Raw genomic sequence first — 21,242 nt, 5'->3', positions numbered from 1 at the left:
AGCAAATAAATAAAATGGTATGGTTTAAGCCATTAAGTTTTGGGATATCTGTTACATGGCAATAGATGACTGCAATAGTCCTCTTCCATTTAACAAGAAAACTTTGTAGATAGAAATGTTAAAGCTGGGTGCAATGGCTCACACCTATAATCCCAGCACTTTGGGAGGCCAAGGCATGAGAATCACCTGAGGTTAGGAGTTCGAGACCAGCCTGGCCAAAGTGGTGAAATCCCATCTCTTTTTTTCTTTTTTTTTTTTTTTTTTTTCCTTTTTCTGGAGAATGGGGTCTCACTATATTGCCCAGGCAGGTCTCGAACTCCTGGGCTCAAGCTATCCTCCTGCCTCTTGCCTCCCTGAGAGCTGGGATCACAGGCGTAAGCCACCGCGCCCGGCGTGAAATCCCATCTCTACTAAAAATACAAAAATTAGCTGGGCATGGTGGGATGTGCCTGTAATCCCAGCTACTCAGGAGGCTGAGGCAGGAGAATTAGCTTGAACCTGGGAGGCAGAGGTTGCAGTGAGCCGAGATTGTGCCGCTGCACTCCCGCCTGGGCGACAGAGTGAGACTCTGTCTCAAAAAAAGAAAAGAAAGAAAGAAAAAGAAAAGAAGTGTTAAAGCAATTTTCATGATCAATCTTGTCTTTTCTGTTGCATCTGTGAACTGACATTCTAACCTTGATGGGCAGGTGGCATTGCCACGCATTTTAGAAGTTGCCGCCGATTTTGTGCCCATCCACATGGAGCAGGGTGCCTTCAGTCTGACATGTTCCCCACATGTCCCTTCTGGCATTGTTGCTTCAGGAACCAGGCACTGCATTTGTCCCACAAGAATCAGCCCCCAGATTTCCATCCAGATTATCTGATTTCTTCCATTGGTTTTAATTCATGGGTGGCCCATTTACTTCAAATCTAATGTCTGAAAGGCTCTTTATTTCTTTTTTCTAGAGACAAGAAGCAAAGCTGGTCAGTATGTTTCACTCACACAGAAGCCATGTCTAATCTGTAGGTGGATAATTTTGACATTGCCAGAACTATTATTCTGTCTGAATGACTATGATTAGTTTAGGATCTCATTTGAAAATAAGGCAATTACGCTGGGCGCGGTGCTTCACGCCTGTAATCCCAGCAGTTTGGGAGGCTGAGGTGGGCGGATCATGAGGTCAAGAGATCGAGACCATCCTTGCCAACATGGTGAAACCCCATCTCTACTAAAAATACAAAAATTAGCCAGTCATGGTGGTGCGTGCCTGTAATCCCAGCTATGCAGGAGGCTGAGACAGGAGAATAGCTTGAACCCAGGAGGCAGAGGTTGCTGTGAGCCGAGATCACACCACTGCACGCCAGCCTGGGGACAAAGCAAGACTCTGTCTCAAAAAAAAAAAAAAAAGAAAAGAAAAAAAGAGAAGATTCCTTGACATAATAAGACTTATCCATAAGCTATAGTATATATAACTTAGGCCAGAGGGAAATACAATAGATTTATATTCTTTCTAGCTATGTGTTTTATTACAATATCATAGATTATTGCCACAGAGGAAGAACAATAAGAAAAACACTGAAAGAAAACAAAAACAAATATTCAGACAGGCTGCTCATCTCCCTCATGGTGATTCCTTCTCTGGCCAAGTTGCTAAGGCTATGGCTGTAAGAGAGGATGATTGGGAGATGGGACAGTGAGTACATCCAGGAATAATTCTTAGAAATCCTCAATTACGTTCAATAGCATTTTGCTAAACCTCAAGCCTGGTAATTTATACACACACTTATACACAAACACAAACACATTCTGCTGCCCTGGTTCTTCAGCAAAAAAAGAGGGCAGCTTATAGCTGAAGAGAAAGCTCACATTACAAAGACTTCATTACTTTTACAAAATATGCACCAAAGGACATTTACTAGTGCACTGAGAGCTATTATCATAAATAATTAAAACTAAACTATTCTTCTCTAAATAAATGTATAAAGTACATTGGGTGATTCAGAGCACTCAGCTTTCTCAACATACTGCTCTGTATACTTATAATGCAAGAACCCCCCCAGGCCATTAAAATGATATTTCTGGTTTTCCCATAGAGACTTTAGAAAGCAGATTTGGACGGGGCACAAGAACTTAGGATGCTGAAGTCCTTCTTTCTAATTGCTTTTTTCCCTTTCCAGTAATTATTTACAAGAAAATGAAAATGTTTGCAGACATCTTTGCATGAAGGGCCCTTACAGTCGTATTTTACACAAATACATTGATGCATAGTTCAAAAAGTCTGAGTGTTAAGCAACATGACATTTCTCAAGCATCACTGCCCATCGTGGAAGCCATTGTGATTTGTGTTGAGAAGGTAACTTCTGGAATCTTCCTTATTCAAAGAATATAAAATGAAGAGCCATCGTGATGTGACGAAAAGGATTTCCTATGCCCTTTAACCCAATACAACACTCTCATATTTCACTCAAACACTGAATTAGATATGTAATAACTACTTGGCTTGCTTCCATGTGAGTCCTGGAGGAAACTGAAGTTGTCTAGAGGGTCAAGAGCTGCTTTGGATTTCTAGAGTCAGGATCCACTTTTGTTGCTTTGTCAACTTCCAGGCTTACCCGATTTGGGTCTTCTGGAGGTGAGTAGCTTTTAGGAATCTAGTAACCTTGAGGTCTCTACGGTTAATCTGAATGAATTCAATTCTCAAAACTGAACTTAATTTAAAAGCAGCCTACAGTTAAAAACAGGTCTTTATTCCTGGGGCCTGTTTAAACAAAACTAGACCTGTCCTTTATTCCATTTTTTTTTTTTTTTTTTTTTTTAAACAGAGTTTTGCTCTGTCTCCCAGGCTGGAGTGCAGTGGTGCAATCTCGACTCACTGCAACTTCTGCCCCGCAAGATTCAAGTGATTCTTCTGCCTCAGCCTCGTGAGTAGCTGGGACTACAGGTGCACACCACCACGCCCAGCTAATTTTTGTATTTTTAGTAGAGACAAGGTTTCACCATGTTGGTCAGGCTGGTCTTGAACTCCTGACCTTGTGATCCGCCCACCTCGGCCTCCCAAAGTGCTGGGATTACAGACATGAGCCACCGCACCCTGCCTTTTTTTTTTTTTTTTTTTTTTTGGAGATGGAGTCTCGCTCTATTGCCCAGGTTGGAGTGCAATGGTGTGATCTCAGCCCACTGCAATCTCTGCCTCCTGGGTTCCTGGGTTCAAGCAATTCTCCTGCCTCAGCCTCTCGAGTAGCTGGGGTTACAGGTGTGTGCCACCATGCCTGGCTAATTTTCGTATTTTTAGTAGAGATGGGGTTTCACCATGTTGGCCAGGCTGGTCTCGAATTCTTGACCTTAAGTGACCCACCCGCCTTGGCCTCCCAGAGTGCTGGGATTACAGGTATGAGCCACTGCTATAACAGAATACCACAGACTGGGCAATTTGTTATTACTATTTTTAAGTTATTTCTTACAGTTCTGAGGGCCAAGAAGTCCTAGGTCAAGGGCCTCCATCTGGCAAGGACCCTCTTACTATGTTATCCCATGGCGGAAGGGCAAGAGAGCATGTGTGAGAGAGCAGGAGGGGCCAAACTCACTTTATAAGAAGCCCATTCTCACAATAACTAACCAACCCCCTTCATGTGGACAGAGCCCTCATATCATAATCACCACTTATTAGGCCCCACCTCCCAACACTGTTGCACTGGGGATTAATTTCCCGACACATGAACTTTGGGGGACACATTCAAACCATAGCATAGGGCAAGTTCCAAAGGCCGAAAAGTGTGACCCAAAGGAAAAGTGCGACTCAAAGGAAAAGTGCATACTATAAAGCTTGGCGAAAATAAAATCAAAGAATCTTAGTATAACAATTACAGCAGCAAAAGCTTTGCTATCAAGGGCTGATGGAGGCTGGATCTTCGAGTATTTGAAGCTGGAAAACTGCAATTTGGGGGATTGCTTCTGCATTCTGGGTGGGGGTAAAGAACTGAAATTTGTCCTTAGGTCAACTCCTCATTTCTGTTCACTTTGGTAAACTTTTTTTTTTTTTTGAGACAGAGTTTTGCTCTGGCACCCAGGCTGGAGTGCAGTGGCACAGTCTCAGCTCACTGCAACCTCTGCTTCCCGGGATCAAGTGATTCTCCTGCCTCAGCCTCCTGAGTAGCTGGGATTACAGGTGTGAGCCACCATGCCCAGCCACACTTTGGTGAACTTTTTAGTAATATAAACCTAAGGCCAGTTAATTCCCAATTCTTCAAAAGAAGCCATGAATCAGCAAGTTACACAAACTCAGATCCTTTGAACTGAGATGTTAACATTCTGCTTAGTCATTTAAATTAGCACCTTATCAACTGAACCGTGCCACTCTAGAGATAGAAAATATTTTCCTGCATAAACTGAATTGCAACTAATCCATAGCTAAAAATTATTTCATTCTTGGGAGATAAGTGCTTGGCTTTGTCCAAGCATGTGTTCACTAGGAGATCTGGAGACCAGATTGTGGCAAAAAGAATGTTCAGGCTAAACTTTTCGCCAGCTAATGCCTGAGGAAATAGAATCCCAAGGAAACAAATAGCGTACGTATTCATGCTACCTGGGCTATGTACAGGACTGGCTAGCTACACAATTTGTGGGGCCTAGTGCAAAATGAAAATACGGATCCCCCTTGTAGGGACTGGCAAAGACTCTCCTTGATCAAATTTTAGTCAAGATCCTCTGAATGGGCCAGGCATGGTGGCTCATGCCTGTAAACCCAGCACTTTGGGAGGCTGAGGTGGGCAGATCACTTGAGGCCAGGAGTTAGAGACCAGTGTGCCCAACGTGGTGAAAACCTGTCTCTACTAAAAATACAAAAAAATAAAAAAAAAATTAGCCGGCTGTGGTGGCACACACCTGTAATCCCAGCTACAAGGGTGGCTGAGGTAGGAGAATCACTTAAACCCAGGAGGCGAAGGTTGCAGTGAACTGAGATCTCACCCACTGTATTCCAGCCTGGGTGACATAGTGAGACCCCATCTCAAAAAAAAAAAAACAAAAATCCTCTGAATTCTCCTCTCCTTTCAATTAGCCTCAATGTTGGCTCCCATCCTTGCCAGGCCTGCATAGTTCAGTTGTATCAGGAATTCTATTAAGTCAGTATAGAGAGAATCCCTCATCCTTAATACCTGATCACCCTGGCCTGCTTTAACAAGAGCCCTGTTTAAGTTGGTTTAACAATAATCTCCCTACTGTAGGCTGGGCATGGTGGCTCACGTCTGTAATCTCAACACTTTGGGAGTGCCAGGCAGGAAGATCATTTGAGGCCAAGAGTTCAAGACCAGTGTGGGTAACATAACAAGACCTCATCTCTAAAAAAACAACAAAATTAAAAAATTAGCTAGGCATGGTGGTACACACCTGTGGTCCCAGCTACTCAGGAGGCTGAGGTAAAAGGATTGCTTGAGCCCAGGAGGTCAAGGCTGCAGTGAGCCATGATTGTGCCACTGCACTCCAGCCTGAGTGACAGTAACAGAGCAAGACCTTGTCTCAAAAAGGAAAAAAAAAAAAAAAAAAAGAATTTCCCTACCGTTGATGTCTCATCTTCATAATTTCCATCCATAGACTCCACAACTCTGAAAGTTGGTTATAAATCCCCATTTGTCCTTGCTGTATTTGGAATTGAGCCCTGTCTCTCTACTCTATTGAGTCTTGATACCTATTGTAATTGTCCTGAATAAAGTCTTCCTTATCATTGTAACAAGTGTCAGAATAATTTTTTCCTGAACTGTTATGGTGTTGTGACTCACATAGGATCAGATTCATCAATGGACTCCCAAAACTGCTCTCCCAGGACCTCAAGTGTTCACCTTTGAAGACTTTGCCTTCACTCCTGACTGGTTAGGGATCACGTTGATGAGTCTGGCTCCTGAAGAAGGGCAGCAAATGACAGTCTGTTGAAGCACTTTTGATTTTGATTCTTAAGATGTAAGGACAGGCTGGGCTTGGTGGCTCACGCCTGTAATCCTAACACTTTGGGGGGCAGAGGTGGGTGAATCATATGAGGCCAGGAGTTTGAGACTGGCCTGGCCAGCATGGCAAAACCTCATCTCTACTGAAAATACAAAAATTAGCTGGGCATGGTGGTGGGCGCCCAGCTACTCGGGAGGCTGAGGCAGAAGAATCACTTGAACCCAGGGGGTGGAGGTTGCAGTGAACTGAGATTGTGCCACTTCAGCCTGGGCAAAACAGCAAAACTCTGTAAAAATAAAATAAAATTAAATTAAATTAAAAATTAAAAACCGAACGGACAGATTTTTATTGTCTGTCTCTCTTTTTTTTTTTTTTTTGAGACGTAGTCTCACTCTGTTGCCTAGGCTGGAGTACAGTGGCGCAATCTTGGCTAACTGCAACTTCTGCCTCCTGGGTTGGAGCAATTCTCCTGCCTCAGCCTCCTGAGTAGCTGGGATTACAGGTGTGCACCACAACACTCGGCTAATTTTTGTATTTTTAGTAGAGATAGGGTTTTACCATGTTGGCCAGGCTAGCCTTGAACTCCTGACCTCAGGTGATCCTCCCACCTCAGCCTCCCAGAGTGCTGGGATTACCGGCATGAGCCACCACACCTGGCCTCTCTTATTTTTTAGTAGAGACAGGGTTTCACCATGCTGGCCAGGCTGGTCTCAAACTCCAGGCCTCAAGTGATCCACTTGCCTTGGCCTCCCAAAGTGTTGGGATTACAGACATGAGCCACCACGCCTGGCCCCATCAAATTAATTTCTAAAATCCTATAAAAGAATGCTGTTTAAATTCACTTAGAGATAAATACGTGCTTAAGTAAAGTTAATATTCCTAAAACTCTTAGAAATATAAGAACTAACCCAAATGTTTTTCAAGTTCACATGTATTGAGTAAATCTTTGATAAATAAGACTAATTTGGTATTATTGGCTTAATAAAAATGAGTATGTCTTATAATTTTCATCATTAAGTATGATATGCTCATTTTTATTCTACTTGGGGTTACTAGTCAAGTGAGGTAATATTATATTTACTAGATATTTAAGATTATAAAAATTGGCCAGGTGCGGTGGTTCATGCCTGTAAATCCCAGGACTTTGGGGGCCAAGGTGGGCAGATTACCTGAGCCCAGGAGCTCAACACCAGCCTGGGCAATATAGTAAGACCCTGTCTCTACAAAAAATACAAAAAATTAGCCAGGCATGGTGGCTTGTGGCTGTCGTCCCAGCTACCCCAGAGGCCAAGGTGGGAGGATCACCTGAGCCTGGGAGGTCGAGGCTGCAGTGAGAGGAGATCACGCCATTCACTCCAGCCAGGCAATGGAGTGAGACCCTAGCTCAAAACAACAACAACACAAAGATTATAAAAATTATAAATTCACTCTAAGAACAAATGTACAAGTAATGATGTAGTAAAAATGAGTCACTTGATATTCATTACTTTATGCATATCAAGCACAGTAGTAAAACAAAAAAACCAATGTATTGAAACTTTTTAGGTTTTTGCTTATGCGATACTTGCCTAACAGGCGTAGACTATAAAAGTACTTAACAGAGAAATAACGTGAGATGATGGCTAGCTATGTTTAATGGTATGTCTGCCTGAAAATAGTTTCCAAAATCTTTTTGGTAACTTGGAACCTTACAGTTATGCTAAGTTAAATAATAGATATCCATTAAATATGTAGATCATTTCTAAGTAAGATAAACTACTGAAACATTCATTATTAAGCATAAGTTTAATTTTATATACTTCTGGTTTCTCATTTTTATATGGTACAGCCAAGCTAAATATATTTGGATCTATTAATAAACATGTTCTTTTTGCCACATTGGAAAATTGTACTATGAAGAAGCATATACCTATAAAAGTTGTCGGATGATATATATTCATAAAATACGCTAGTCTGCCACAGACGGCTGGTATGTGACAGACAATCCACAATTGTCTACTTCCTAGTATTCTCTGTTAAAAAAAAAAAGGTTACTAATGGTTAAAAATAATAATCAATATATGTAAATAAAACTACTAGAAATTGTAAGGGTGAGGAGAAGCAACTTTGCATAAAAAGTATGCAAGCAATGTAGGATGTGTTTCTGTTAAGAGAAAAAGAGAGTAATTTTATCCTAGATTAAAATGACTGGTTGTTCCAGAATGAGAAAGATAAAAAGTAGAAGACAAAAACTGAATGGATATAAAAAGTTGTAGAGTGCTTGTGGAAAAGGAATCTTGGAAAAGGAATTTTATCTCGTGGTCAAAGCTGACTAAGATTGGATAGGTTTATTTATAAGGGCTTTAAAAAATAAAAAAAGTACACTAGAAAGAGTAAAATTGTACACCAAAAGTACACTGGTGTGAAACTACAATTTAGCTTTCTCTATATTAAAAATGACAAAGTTTCCTTGGATTATTGGTCTGCTCTTAATAAGAGGTTGTAAGAGAAAGAGGTTATCCTTCTCTTTTGAGTGATCTGCCCAGGAAACCAAGATTTTGTGTCTTATCAGAGTAATTTTCTATGCTTTGTGTTAACCTTGATTATGTCCTTCATTATTGAAGACAACACTTTTCACTTTTTAAAAGAGCTATGAGACGGGTGCCGTGGCTCACACCTGTAATCCCTGCACTTTGGGAGGCCGAGGTGGGCAGATCACCTGAGGCCAGGAGTTTGAGACCAGCCTGGCCAACATAATGAAACCCCATCTCTACTAAAAATACAAAAAATTAGCTGGGCATGGTGGCGGGCACCTGTAATCCCAGCTATTCAGGCAAAAGAATCTCCTGAACCCAGGAGGCAGAGGTTGCAGTGAGCCGAGATCATGCCACTGCACTCCAGCCTGGGCAACAGAGTAAGACCCCGTATCAAAAAAAAAAAAGCTATGTTTCCTTTACAGTTGTTTTATCTTCCTTTTTTTTTTTTTTTTTTTTCTTTGAGATGGAGTCTTGCTCTGTCGCCCAGGCTGGAGTGCAGTGGTGCGATCTCGGCTCACTGCAAGCTCCGGCTCCCGGGTTCACGCCATTCTCCTGCCTCAGCCTCCCAAGTAGCTGGGACTACAGGCGCCCACCACCAGGCCCAGCTAATTTTTTTGTATTTTTAGTAGCGACGGGGTTTCACCGTGTGAGCCAGGATGGTGTTGATCTCCTGACCTCATGATCTGCCCGCCTCTGCCTCCCAAAGTGCTGGGATTACAGGTGTAAGCCACCACGCCCGGCTGTTTTATCTTCCATACTTACTTTTGAATTCTTTTTTTTATGAGACAGAGTCTCACTCTGTAGCCCAGGCTGGAGTGCTATGGTGCAATCTCGGCTCACTGCAACCTCTGCCTCCCAGGTTCAAGTGATTCTCCTGCCTCAAGTGATTCTCCTGCCTCAGGCTTCTGAGTAGCTGAGACTACAGGCATGCGCCACCATGCCCTGCTAACTTTTGTATTTTTAGTAGAGATGGGTTTTCACCATATTGGCCAGGCTGCTCTTGAACTCCTGACCTCGTGTATCCTCCCACCTTGGCCTCCTGAAGTGCTGGGATCACAGGTGTGAGCCACTACGCCTGGCCTACTTTTGAATTCTTTTGCTGTCACTCTGGTCAAATAGGTGGCTATTGTTTCACAGTGTCACACATAGATTTCATCTATTCAAATGCTCAAACCTTTTGATATTTCTGACAATTTTGTCTTCCCCAAATCAAATTCTAAATGAAATCTTGATTTTGAATGGAATTTGAGTTTTCCTAAAGGGCCTCTGGAAAATCTCAAAGAATTTATTCTTTCACCTTGTAAAGAGAGAGAGTTTTTTTTTAATTATGTTTATTTGATACGTTGAACTGCAAGAAAAGTATCAAATTGGGCCTGGCACAGTGGTTCATGCCAGTAATCCCAGCACTTTGGGAGGCCTAGGGGGAGGATTGGTTGAGCTCTACAAAAAATAAAAAAGTTAGTCAGGGCATAGCAGTACACACCTGTGCTCCCAGCTACCCAGGAGGCTGGGGTAGGAGGACCACTTGGGCCCAGGAGATGGAGGCTGCAATAAGACATGATCGTACCACTCTACTCCAGCCTGGATGACAAAAAAAAAAAAAAAAAAAAAAAAAAAAAAGCTGTACTGTCCACTGTATTGTATTGACTCTTCTCTCTTTGAACAGAAAAAAAAAAAAAAAGAGAGAGAGAGACTGACGACAATTTGCTCCTTGATTAAACTCTAGTTAGTTTGAGCCCTCTTCTTCACCAGCCCTTGACCTTGGTCCGCATGCTTGCTGGGCTTGCATGGCCCAGTAATAAATAGCAAGAATGCTACTACATCAGTTTAGAGGGAAGCACCTACCTTTGATGTCTGATTACTTGGTCTACCTTTAGCAAGAATCCTATTAAGTCAGTGTAACAAGACTTCCTCTATCCTTGATGTTTCTTCTCAAGTAATTTTTCATCCAATGACCTCGCACACACCTCACATTCTGTTTCTTGGTTATATTAATAAATTTCCACTGTCCTTGCTGTATTTGGAATTGAACTCTAATCTCTTTCTCCTATCGTGGTAGTCTTGACACCTTTCACAATGGTTCTTCCTCCTGCCACCTGCTGGACCGAGCACCATGTCCACCCTGGGGCAGGAAGTTGAAACAGACATCTATGCCAGGAAGCTCAAGGCACCTGGATCGGGGCTGGGGAAGAGGCAAGGTTTCCTCCTTCTCCCTCTGGCCAGAGGGCAAGTTACAGTCTTCAGAGACAGGCACAGGTAGAGGACATCTGTGCCTAGCAGTGTGGATATCTCACAAAAGACACTCAGGCAAAATGAAGAGGCCTGAACAGAAACAAAACAAAACAGAACAAACTGAGGCATTTGTTTTGGAGCATATGAGGAAATCCCCTGAGAAAAGGATGACTTAAAATGAACTATATTTGCCAGGTGCAGTGGCTCATGTCTGTAATCCCAGAACTTTGGGAGGCCGAGGAGGGCAGATCATGAGGTCAGGAGTTCCAGACCAGCCTGGCCAACATGGAGAATCCCCGTCTCTACTAAAAATACAAAAAAAAAAAAATTAGCCAGGCATGGTGACACGCGCCTGTAATCCCAGCTACTCGGGAGGCTGAAGCAGAAGAATCGCTGGAACCTGGGAGATGGAGGTTGCAGTGAGCCGGTATCGCGCCACTGCACTCCAGCCTGGGCAACAGGGCAAGACTCCATCTCAAAAAAAAAAAAAAAAGGAACTACATTTCAGCAAATGGGTCAGTGATAATTTACTTACAAAAAATTTATGTACTTTCATTTTGAAGTTACACACTGCTGCCACCAAAATGTGTCAGTTGCACATGCCACAGATGATAAATAACTGGAATTCTCATTTCTTTTCTAAATGTGAGGGGGAAAAAAAAAACCTATGGCTATTCACCACTTTGAAAATCAAAACAGAAATGATTTCTTGGCTATGACACCAAAAGCACAGAACACAAGACAAAGCAGATTTCATCAAAATTAAAGACTTTGTGCATCAAAGTAAAAAGGCAAACAATAAAATGGAGAGGAAATATTTGTGAATCGCATATCTGACAAGGGATTAATATGCAAAATATATAAAGATATACAGTAGGAATAGGGAAGTATTGTTTAGTGAGTACAGTTTCAGTAATGGATGATGCAAAATTCTGGAGATGGACAATGGTGAGGGTTGCACAACAATGCGAATATACTCAATGCCATTAAAAATAGTTAAAATGGTAACTTTTATGCTATATATATTTTACTATGATAAAACAAACTCAGCCGGGTGCAGTGGCTCACGCCTGTAATCTCAACACTTAGGGAGGCCGAGGCAGGAGGATCAGGAGTTTGAGACCAGCCTGGCCAACATGGTGAAACCCCATCTCTACTAAAAGTAAAAAATTAGCCAGGTGTGGTGCCACATGCCTGTAGTCCCAGCTACTTGGGAGGCTGAGGCAGGAGAATCACTTGAACCAGGGAGGCAGAGGCTGCAGTGCAGGGAGCTGAGATTGTGCTACTGCACTCCAGCCTGGGCGACAGAGTGAGACTCTATCACCAAAAAAAAAAAAAAAGCCCTCAGGCTGTGTGTGGTGGCGCATGCCTGTAAGCCCAGCACTTTGGGAGGCCAAGGCGGGCAGATTGCTTGAGGTCAGGAGATCAAGACCAGCCTGGCCAACATGGTAAAACACTGTGTCTACTATAAATACAAAAAAAAAAAAAAAATAGCCAGGTGTGGTGGCATACACCTGTAGTCCTAGCTATTCAGGAGGCTGAGGCAGGAATATCGCTTTAACCTGGAGGCGGAGGTTGCAGTGAGCCAAGATCATGCCACTGCACTCCAGCCTGGGTGACAGAGCAAGACTCTGTCTCAAAAAACAAACAAACAAAAAAACCTCAGGAAAACCCAACTATCAAAAAGCCTGAATTTATTAAACCTATAAATTAGGAAATGGTTATTGAACTATGAAAGGATTTTGTCAATTTTAAAATGATTTAATTTAAGTAGGATTCTTTCCTAGAGCTTTACTGTCTGTCTCTTCACAAATCATTGTTGAAGTGGTCAGGCATGGTGACTCACACCTGTAATCCCAGCACTTTGGGAGGCCGAGGTGGGCGGATCACCTGAGGTTGGGAGTTCGTGACCAGCCTGACCAACACAGAGAAACCCCATTTCTACTAAAAATACAAAATAAGCTGGGCCTGGTGGCGCATACCTGTAATCCCAGCTACTTGAGAGGCTGAGGCAGCAGAATCTCTTGAATCTGGGAGGCAGAGGTTATGGTGAGCTGAGATCGTGCCATTGCACTCCAGCCTGGGCAACAAGAGTTAAACTCCGTCTCAAGAAAAAAATTTTTTTGTTGAAGTGTTCAAGAGTGGGTAAAAGGAGAAGTGGAATAAAAAAAGAAAACATACTAGGGACATTCGCAAACAATGTTTGTCTCTTAACAATGCTATTGAGTACTCTGAGTTTGTTGGATTTCGTTTTTTTTGTTTGCTTGTTTTTCAGACAGAGTGTTACTCTGTCACATAGGTTGGAGTGCAGTGGGGTGGTCATGGCCGGACCATCCTGGACCTCCCAGGCTCAAGTGATCCTCCTACCTCAGTCTCCGAGTACCTGGGACTACAGGCGGACACCACCATGCCTGGCTAATTTTCGTATTTTTTGTGGAGACGGGGTCCCACTATGTTGCCCAGACTGGCCTCAAATGCTTCAGTTTAAGTAATCCACCCACCTCGGTCTCCCAAAGCTCTGGAATTACACGTGTGAGTCACCACACCCAGCCTATATATGTGAATTTTTCAAATTTTTACTTTTAAAAAAATCGAAGACTTACAGATATAGTACAATGAGTTCCCTTATATCTGTCATCTAGGTTCATCAGTTGTTAACAAATTGTCATTTTTTTCTTTCTGTATATAATTATTTTATTACTTTGATGAAATATTAATGATTAGAAAGTAACCTGCAGACATCACGGTTCTTTACCCCTAAATAATTTTAGCATGTGTCTCACAAAAACCATGACTTTGCATTACATATCTAGAGCACAGTTGTGTCTGGAATTGGTTCCTGCCCGTGGGTTCTGGGTCTCACTGACTTCAAGAATGAAGCCGCGGACCCTCGCGCTGAGTGTTACAGTTCTTAAAAATTGTGCGTCCAGAGTTTGTTCCTTCAGATGTTCAGATGTGTTCTGAGTTTCTTCCTTCTGGTGGGTTCATGGTCTCACTGACTTCAGAAGTGAAGCCAAAAACCTTTGCTGTGAGTGTTACAGCTCTCAAAAGTGGCAGGTCCAGAGTTGTTCATCCCTCCCCGTGCATTGGTGGTCTCGCTGACTTCAGGAGGGAAGCTGCAGACCTTCCCACTGCGCGTCACAGCTCATAAAGATGGTGCAGACCCAAAGAGTAAACAGCAGCAAGACTTACTGCCAGGAGTGAAATAACAAAGCACACAAAGGGACCGCAGCAGGTTGCTGGTGCTGGGTCAGGCGGCCAGCTTTTATTCCCTTATTTGGCCCCACCCACATCCTGCTGATTGGTCCATTTTATAGAACACTGATTGGTCCGTTTTACAGGGTGCTGATTGGTCTGTTTTACAGAGCGCTGATTGGTCTGTTTTTACAGAGTGCTCACTGGTGCATTTACAAACCTTTAGCTAGACACAGAGTGCTGATTGGTGCATTTACAATCCTTTAGCTAGACAGAAAAGTTCTCCAAGTCCCCACCGGACCCAGAAGCCCAGCCGGCTTCACCTCTCACAATGATCATATTCTGAAAATTTAACAATGATGTGGTACTGGACAATGCATATACAAATTTCTCCAGTTGTTCCTTTAATATCGTTTGTGAAAAAATAATTACCTTTTCCATCCAGAATCTGATTCAGGATCATGCATCGCATCTAATTGTCATGCTTTTTAATCTACTTTGATATGGCACAGTTCTTCAATTTTTTTTTTTTTTCCTGAGGGGGAGTCTCGGCTCTGTCTCCCAGGCTGGAGTGCAGTGGCGCAAGCTCGGCTCACTGCAACCGCCACTTCCCAGGTTCAAATGATTCTCCTGCCTCAGCCTCCTGATTGGCTGGGACTGCAGGCGCATGCCACCATACCCAGCTTATTTTTGTATTTTTAGTAGAGACGGGGTTTCTCTGTTGGCCAGGCTGGTCTCAAACTCCTAGTTTCAAGTAATCTGCCCGCCTCGGCTTCCCAAAGTGCTGGGATTACAGGCGAGAGCCACTGTGACCGGACTTTTTTTTTTTTTTTTAAGACACCTGGTCTCACTCTGCAGCCCAGGCTAGAATGCAGTGGTACCACCGCAGCTCACTGCAGCCTCAATTTTCTGGGATCAAGTAATCCTCCCACTTCACCCTCCTGAGTAGCTGGGACTACAGGTGTGTGCCACCACACTCAGTTAATTTTTTCCTATTTTTGAAGAGACAGGGTTTCAACATATTGCCCAGGCTGGCCTCAAGTGATTCTCCCACCTAGGCCTCCCAAAGTGCTGGGATTACAGGCATAAGCCACTGTGTCCAGGCTGGTTGGATTATTTTTTTACGATCAGTTTCAGGCTAGGCATTTTTGGTGGGAACACCATATTAGGTGATAATGTATCCTTCTCGGTGCTTCACATCAGGAGGCACATAATTACCGGTATGTCCTTATTTTTTTCTTTTCTTTTTTTGAATTATTTTTTGCCGATGACACAGCTTCAGGAGGTCCTGACGACATGTGCCCTTGGAATGTCCTTTCTTGGTTGAAGTAGTGTCTGCCAGGTTTCTCCACTATAAAGTTACCACTTTCATCTTTGTTATTCTAGTTTGTGGGAAGTACTTTAAGACTAGATAAATATGCTGTGAAACTTGAACTCAAGCATCTTAGCATCCATTGATGACTGCTGCTTGAATTAATTATTTGTATGATGATTGCAAAATGGTAATTTTCTATTATTTCTTTTATTAAATATTATTCTAAAGTGTAATGTTTTTATAGAAAATAAATACATTCTTTTGCATGACACATATATCAGAAATAAGTTTGTTTTATGTCTTTTTAAAAAATTTTTGAGACAGGGTCTTGCTTTGTCACCCAGGCTGGAACAGTGGCAAGAACATGGCTCACTGCAGCCTCAAATTACCAGGCTTAAGCAATCCTGCTGCCTCAGCTCCCCAAGTAGCTGGGACCACAGACATCCACAACCATGCCTGGCTAGTTTTTGTATTTTTAGTAGAGATGGGGTTTCACCATGTTGCCCAGGCTGGTCTCAACTCCTGAGCTCAAGTGATCCACCTGCCTCAGCCTCCCAAAGTGTTGGGATTACAGGTGTGAGCCACCGTGTCCTGCCTGTTTTATGACTACTAATGTGGAAAAAGCATGTTACATTTTGGCCCACACAAGACATAAAAAATGAAATTAAAGAGATACAATACAATGAACAAGCATTTCACTTTCTTTCCAGAACATAGAAATGTCTTTTGGACAGAAACAGTCATGTAAGACTATACTAGTGTTCAATATAAGAGGCCTATCTCCAAGATAAGGATTTAGAGAATGAAGGAAACATTTTAAAGAAGAATGGTTATGAATAACCAAGTTGAGAATAAACATTGATTGCTAACAACTACAGATTAGTGAGGAAGGTATCAGACTGATTTTCAAGCTCAGTTTAAACATTAGTTTGGAGGGTTGTAATCCTACATGTATTGAACTGTTTTAATAAAGTATATTTTATTTTACTTTTTTCTTAAAAAATTTGAGTGTGCTACTGTTTTTCTCTGTTTCTCATACTTTAAGCCTGGCTAGACCGTGGCCCAAAGAACTAATGGGATCATTACTCACCTAACAGCAGGATATAGTAATTGCACATAATAAATTCAAAAGAAACATCTTCAGATGCTGAACTTGCAAAAATAAACATATCAAGTGAGAAAAACCTTACCTCAGTGGTTCTAAATCCTGAAAGCACAGAAATTCCTGGCAATGTTTTAAAATGCTCAGGCCCAGGCCCTCATCCCACCTCGATCCGGTTATACCTTACTCTCAAGAGAGTTTCGCCCTAGCATGGAAACTTTGCAAAAGCTTCATAGGTTATTGTGATGTGCAGCCAGTGCTGAGGACTGCTGCCCTAAATCCATCACCTATTGAGGAAGCAATTAGGCCTCAGGCTAGTTAAAGCTCCATACCAGCTTCATTAGTTTTTTCATCTCAGGTCTCAGGCCAACATCTCTTTCTTCCTTCCAAAACCCCTTAGGATTTGTCTAGAGGGCCTCTTTTCTACAGCTGTTACCACCTGCTCTACCACTTATAGTTCCTCCTTTAGGGTAGGACATAAATATTTCCATTTTGCTGGATTCCTTTTCTGCAATTCGTCTTCTATACTTTTAAGAGTTTTAGTGCAAAATAAAGAAATAATAAAATATACCTTGCGAAGACTATAAAGATTTTAGTTAATCCTTAAAATATCTATTGCTTCTTGAAATACATATATAATATATATATAAAATTGCCTTGCTATTTTCCCTTCCTAGCCTCTGTTCTTTGATGATATTAGGAAACAATTCTCTATACTTTTTTATTATTTTTTTGGTTTCTTTTTTAAATTTTGGAGACAAAGTCTTGCTCTTTCATCCAGGCTATAATGCAGTGGCACGAACACGGCTCACTGTAGCCTTGACTTCCCCGGCTCAAGCAGTCTTCCCACCTCAGCCTCCCAAGTAACTGGGACAAAAGGCCCACACCACCAGACCCAGCTAGTTTTTGTATTTTTTGTAGAGACAGGATTTTGCAATGTTGCCCAGGCTGGTCTTGAACTCCTGGGCTCAATCGATCTGCCCGCCTTGGCCGCCCAAAGTGCTGGGATTTCAGGTGTAAGGCACCACTCCTGGCCTTCATTCTATTATTTTTATTCACCAGGGCTTGAGTTTATGAGGATTCCTGATAAGAATTCCCAGACTTTCCATTCGATACCATTCTTAGAGATCCCAATGATTTTACTAAGGCAAATATTTCAATATATAGATTTATATACATATATATGTGTGTATACACATACACATGCTAGTTTTCTATAGCAGAGCATTCAACTGCTTTAAGATTGCAGTTACTTACACTTCAGGAAAACTGATTTGTGCAATCTTCAATTTTTCGTTTTGCGCAGGAAAAATCAACCTGAGTTTTCTGCTACTGTGTATTGAAAATCATAACATGTATGAAGATAAAATAGATATAAAATTTAAATCTAAGCCAATGGAATACAAATTTTTTATTTGTTCAATTTTTTCTGAAACATGCCATGCAGTAGTTAAATTAGAAGCATTGGATGAAACTGAAAACAGAGGGAAGCATAAATATTAACTGTCATGATAATTTCTGATCAGTAGTTGTAAGAATTTGTTAAAATGCTTCTAAATCTTAATATGTTTTAATACCATAAAATATATTTTTGAGGTAAGCCAGTGTCATAAACTCTTGTCTAAATACAAAACAAATTCCTGAACATCCAATTCTAGCAAACTTCTGTTCATTTAAGTAAAAATGCTGGGAAAGTTTAGTTCTTTCACCAAGCAAATACAGGAAGAATTTAGGCCAGGCGCTGTGGCTCACCCCTGTAATCCCAGCGTTTTGGGAGGCTGAGGTAGGAGGATCATTTGAGTCCAGGTATTCGAGACCAGCCTGTGCAAGTCAGTGAGACTTCATGTCTACAATAAATAAGTAAAATTAGCCTGGCCTGGTGGTATGCACCTGTAGTGCCAGCTACTTGAGAGACTGAGATGGGAGGACTGCTTCAGACCAGCCGGTTGAAGTTGCAATAAGCTATGGTCTTGCCACTGCACTCCAGGCTGGGTGACAGAGTTGAGACCCTGTCTCAAAAAAAAAAAGTTCTATTTGTAAGGTTCTTATATCGGTTCGAACCCCGAAAGTGCACCGACAGACAACACCAGGCAGAGTGAAGCAACATGCTGTTTTAATGAGCGCCTGGGTGCAGGTAGGCTGAGGCCTAAAATGGCGTCAGCCCCAAATGAGGACGGGGGAGGGGTTTTATAGCTTCCTGTAAACAGGAAGTGTCCCAGTCTGTCGTAACTGCCTTGTGGTACCGGGATGGACTCTCTCGATCTTCAGGGATAGGTGTCTTGCAGCAGGGTACATGTCTTCTAACCGGCTCTCTTCCTGCTTCTGCTATCTTGCTGGCGCAGGCTGCTGGCACAAATAGCCTTGCGCCTTGGAACTGGGCCTAAGAAGGGAGGAGTTACTCATGCCTTCAAGCTTTCAGGCCCTGGGGAGAATCTTTCAAACAATTTCCATCTTTCAACAGATCCAAGTGTTTGCTGCACTGGTCAGAATCACTAATCCTAGACAATGCTTATTTACTATGGTCTCTACTCAGGAAAGACAGACTTTTTACTAGCACAAGTTCGTGATCAGATGCCATTAATACTGTATGGGAGAAGACAGAGAGGAGAGATGAGCTGTTTTAGCACTTTGTAATTTTTCATCTAATATGCAAGTAGCCATTTTCCTTTAACTTGCTCACTTTTTCTTCACTTCAAAACTCAAACACAGTAAGAAGCTTACATCTAAGTTATCAATGTTTTATTTACTCCTTTTAAAATGAGACTGACTTCTAGCTCAACATTCACTATAGCATAATAGTATTGAAATAAAACAAGTAAAAAATGCCAATATACTAGTTATAATGGAATTTAATGTATGCAATTTAATATTAAAAATACAGATGCTGAACCTGATTTAAAAGGCCTGAGGAGATTCAAGAGAAGCTGAGATTTGCCCCAAACCCACCCAGGATAAAGCTACATGATTTTGAAGAGATCACTTTTGAAGAGAATAAAATACCATATAAAATAAGAGTTAAAAACAAAAACAAAAAAAGAAGTAGAAGAAAATCCCAAAATCCAAGAAAAGTCTTTGGATAAGAAACATTTGATAACCCATACTTAGTTTTTTACTTCTTGAATTACTCTTCACTGAAATTCAGCTACGCTTAAGGGGATGGCATTGGAGAATTTCTTTCCATATCTATCTTAAGGATCTTTAATTTCAGTTGAGAAGCTCTGATGCTTCTCTAAGGCTTATTTATCTTTAAAGGTCCATAATTGCATGCATAATGCCACATTTCTTTTCATTTGAAAAAATGTGCCTGATGAGTTCTACTGCTTCACTTCAGTAGAACCATGCAAGTCTCAGACAAGTGCCTTGTAATCTTCCCTCAGCAATTGGGGGATGCAATAATCTCCCTGATCTAGAACAATATTGACTTCATATTCACTACTGGCTGTGGTGTTATTTTATGTGTGCATATATATGGATATAATATGTATATTATATATTATATTACATGTATTGAGACCAGCCTGGGCAAGACAGTGTGACCTTGTCTCTATAAAAAAATAAACAAAATTAGCCTGGTGTGGTGGTTCAAGCCTGTAGTGCCAGCTACTTGAAATACTGACATGGGAGGATCGCTTGGGGCCAGGAGATTTTATATATATATAATATATTAATAGTATATAATTATATAATAATATTAATAGATAATAATATAAATCAATAATAAATATTATTAATTAGTAATACTAAAAATATAAATTAATTGGTATTGTGTATAATTATATAATAATATGATATGCAATGTTATATATGCATATATATAATATATAATGGTATATACACATAAATAGGTATTATATAATGTTTTTTGTCCACCGCTCCTGGCTCATAACTCCCATAGCCCCTGTTAGAGTATTTTGTTATCATGTTGGGCATGTTAGGCCTTAGGGGAAGGCCTCTGACCTCCTGCTCTCCTTTCACCTGCCCCAAGGCAGGACTCTCATCTTTCCCGCCTTTCTGATTGTGAGTCTTAAGACCCCCACTAGAGCCGTCCCGCCTTATACACTGGGGGAAGAAATGCTGACATCATTAGACTTCCATAAAAACCCAAGAGGACTGGGTTCGGGAGCTTCCAGATAGGTGAACTCATGGAGCTTCCTGGAGTGTCCTGCGCCCAGGGAGGGCATGGAAGCCTCTTTCCCCATATCTTGCCTTATGCATCTCCTTATCTGTATCCTTGGTAATATCCTTTATAATAAACCAGTAAACATAATAGAATAATTAATTTCCCTGAGTTTTGTGAGCTGCCCCCGCAAATTAATCAAACCCGAGGAGGGGGTTTTGGGAATCCCAATTTGAAGCCAATGGGTCAGAAGTTCCAGAGGCCCTGACTTAACGACTGGTGTTTGGGGTTAGGGGCAGTTTTGGGGACTAAAACCTCACCTTATGGGATCTGACACTGTCTCTGGGTAGACTGTGGAATTTATTTATTTATTTATTTATTTATTTTGAGATGGAGTTCTGCTCTTGTTGCCCAGGCTGGAGTGCAATGGCACGATCTCGGCTCACCACAACCTCCGCGTCCCAGGTTCAAGCAATTCTCCTGCTTCAGCCTCCCGAGTGGCTGTGATTACAGGCATGCGCCATCATGCCTGGCTAATTTTTTTTTGTATTTTTAGTAGAGACGGGGTTTCTCCATGTTGGTCAGGCTGGTCTCGAACTCCTGACCTCAGGTGATCCGCCAACCTCGGCCTCCCAAAGTGCTGGGATTACAGGCATGAGCCACCACGCCCGGCGACAGTGTGGAATTTAATTGGAGGACACCCAGCTGGTGTTCACTGCTTGGCATGTGGGGAAAAATCCCCACGTTTGGTCACCGAAGTCTTCTGTGTTGATGATTGTTGTGGTGGTGGTATGAGAGTAGAGGAAAACACAACTTGGGAGTCTTTTCAAAACACTGGGTATTTTTGA

Source organism: Homo sapiens, chromosome 4, assembly GCF_000001405.40.
Source record: "Homo sapiens chromosome 4, GRCh38.p14 Primary Assembly".
NCBI lineage: Eukaryota > Metazoa > Chordata > Mammalia > Primates > Hominidae > Homo > Homo sapiens.
This window is presented reverse-complemented; position numbering follows the sequence as displayed.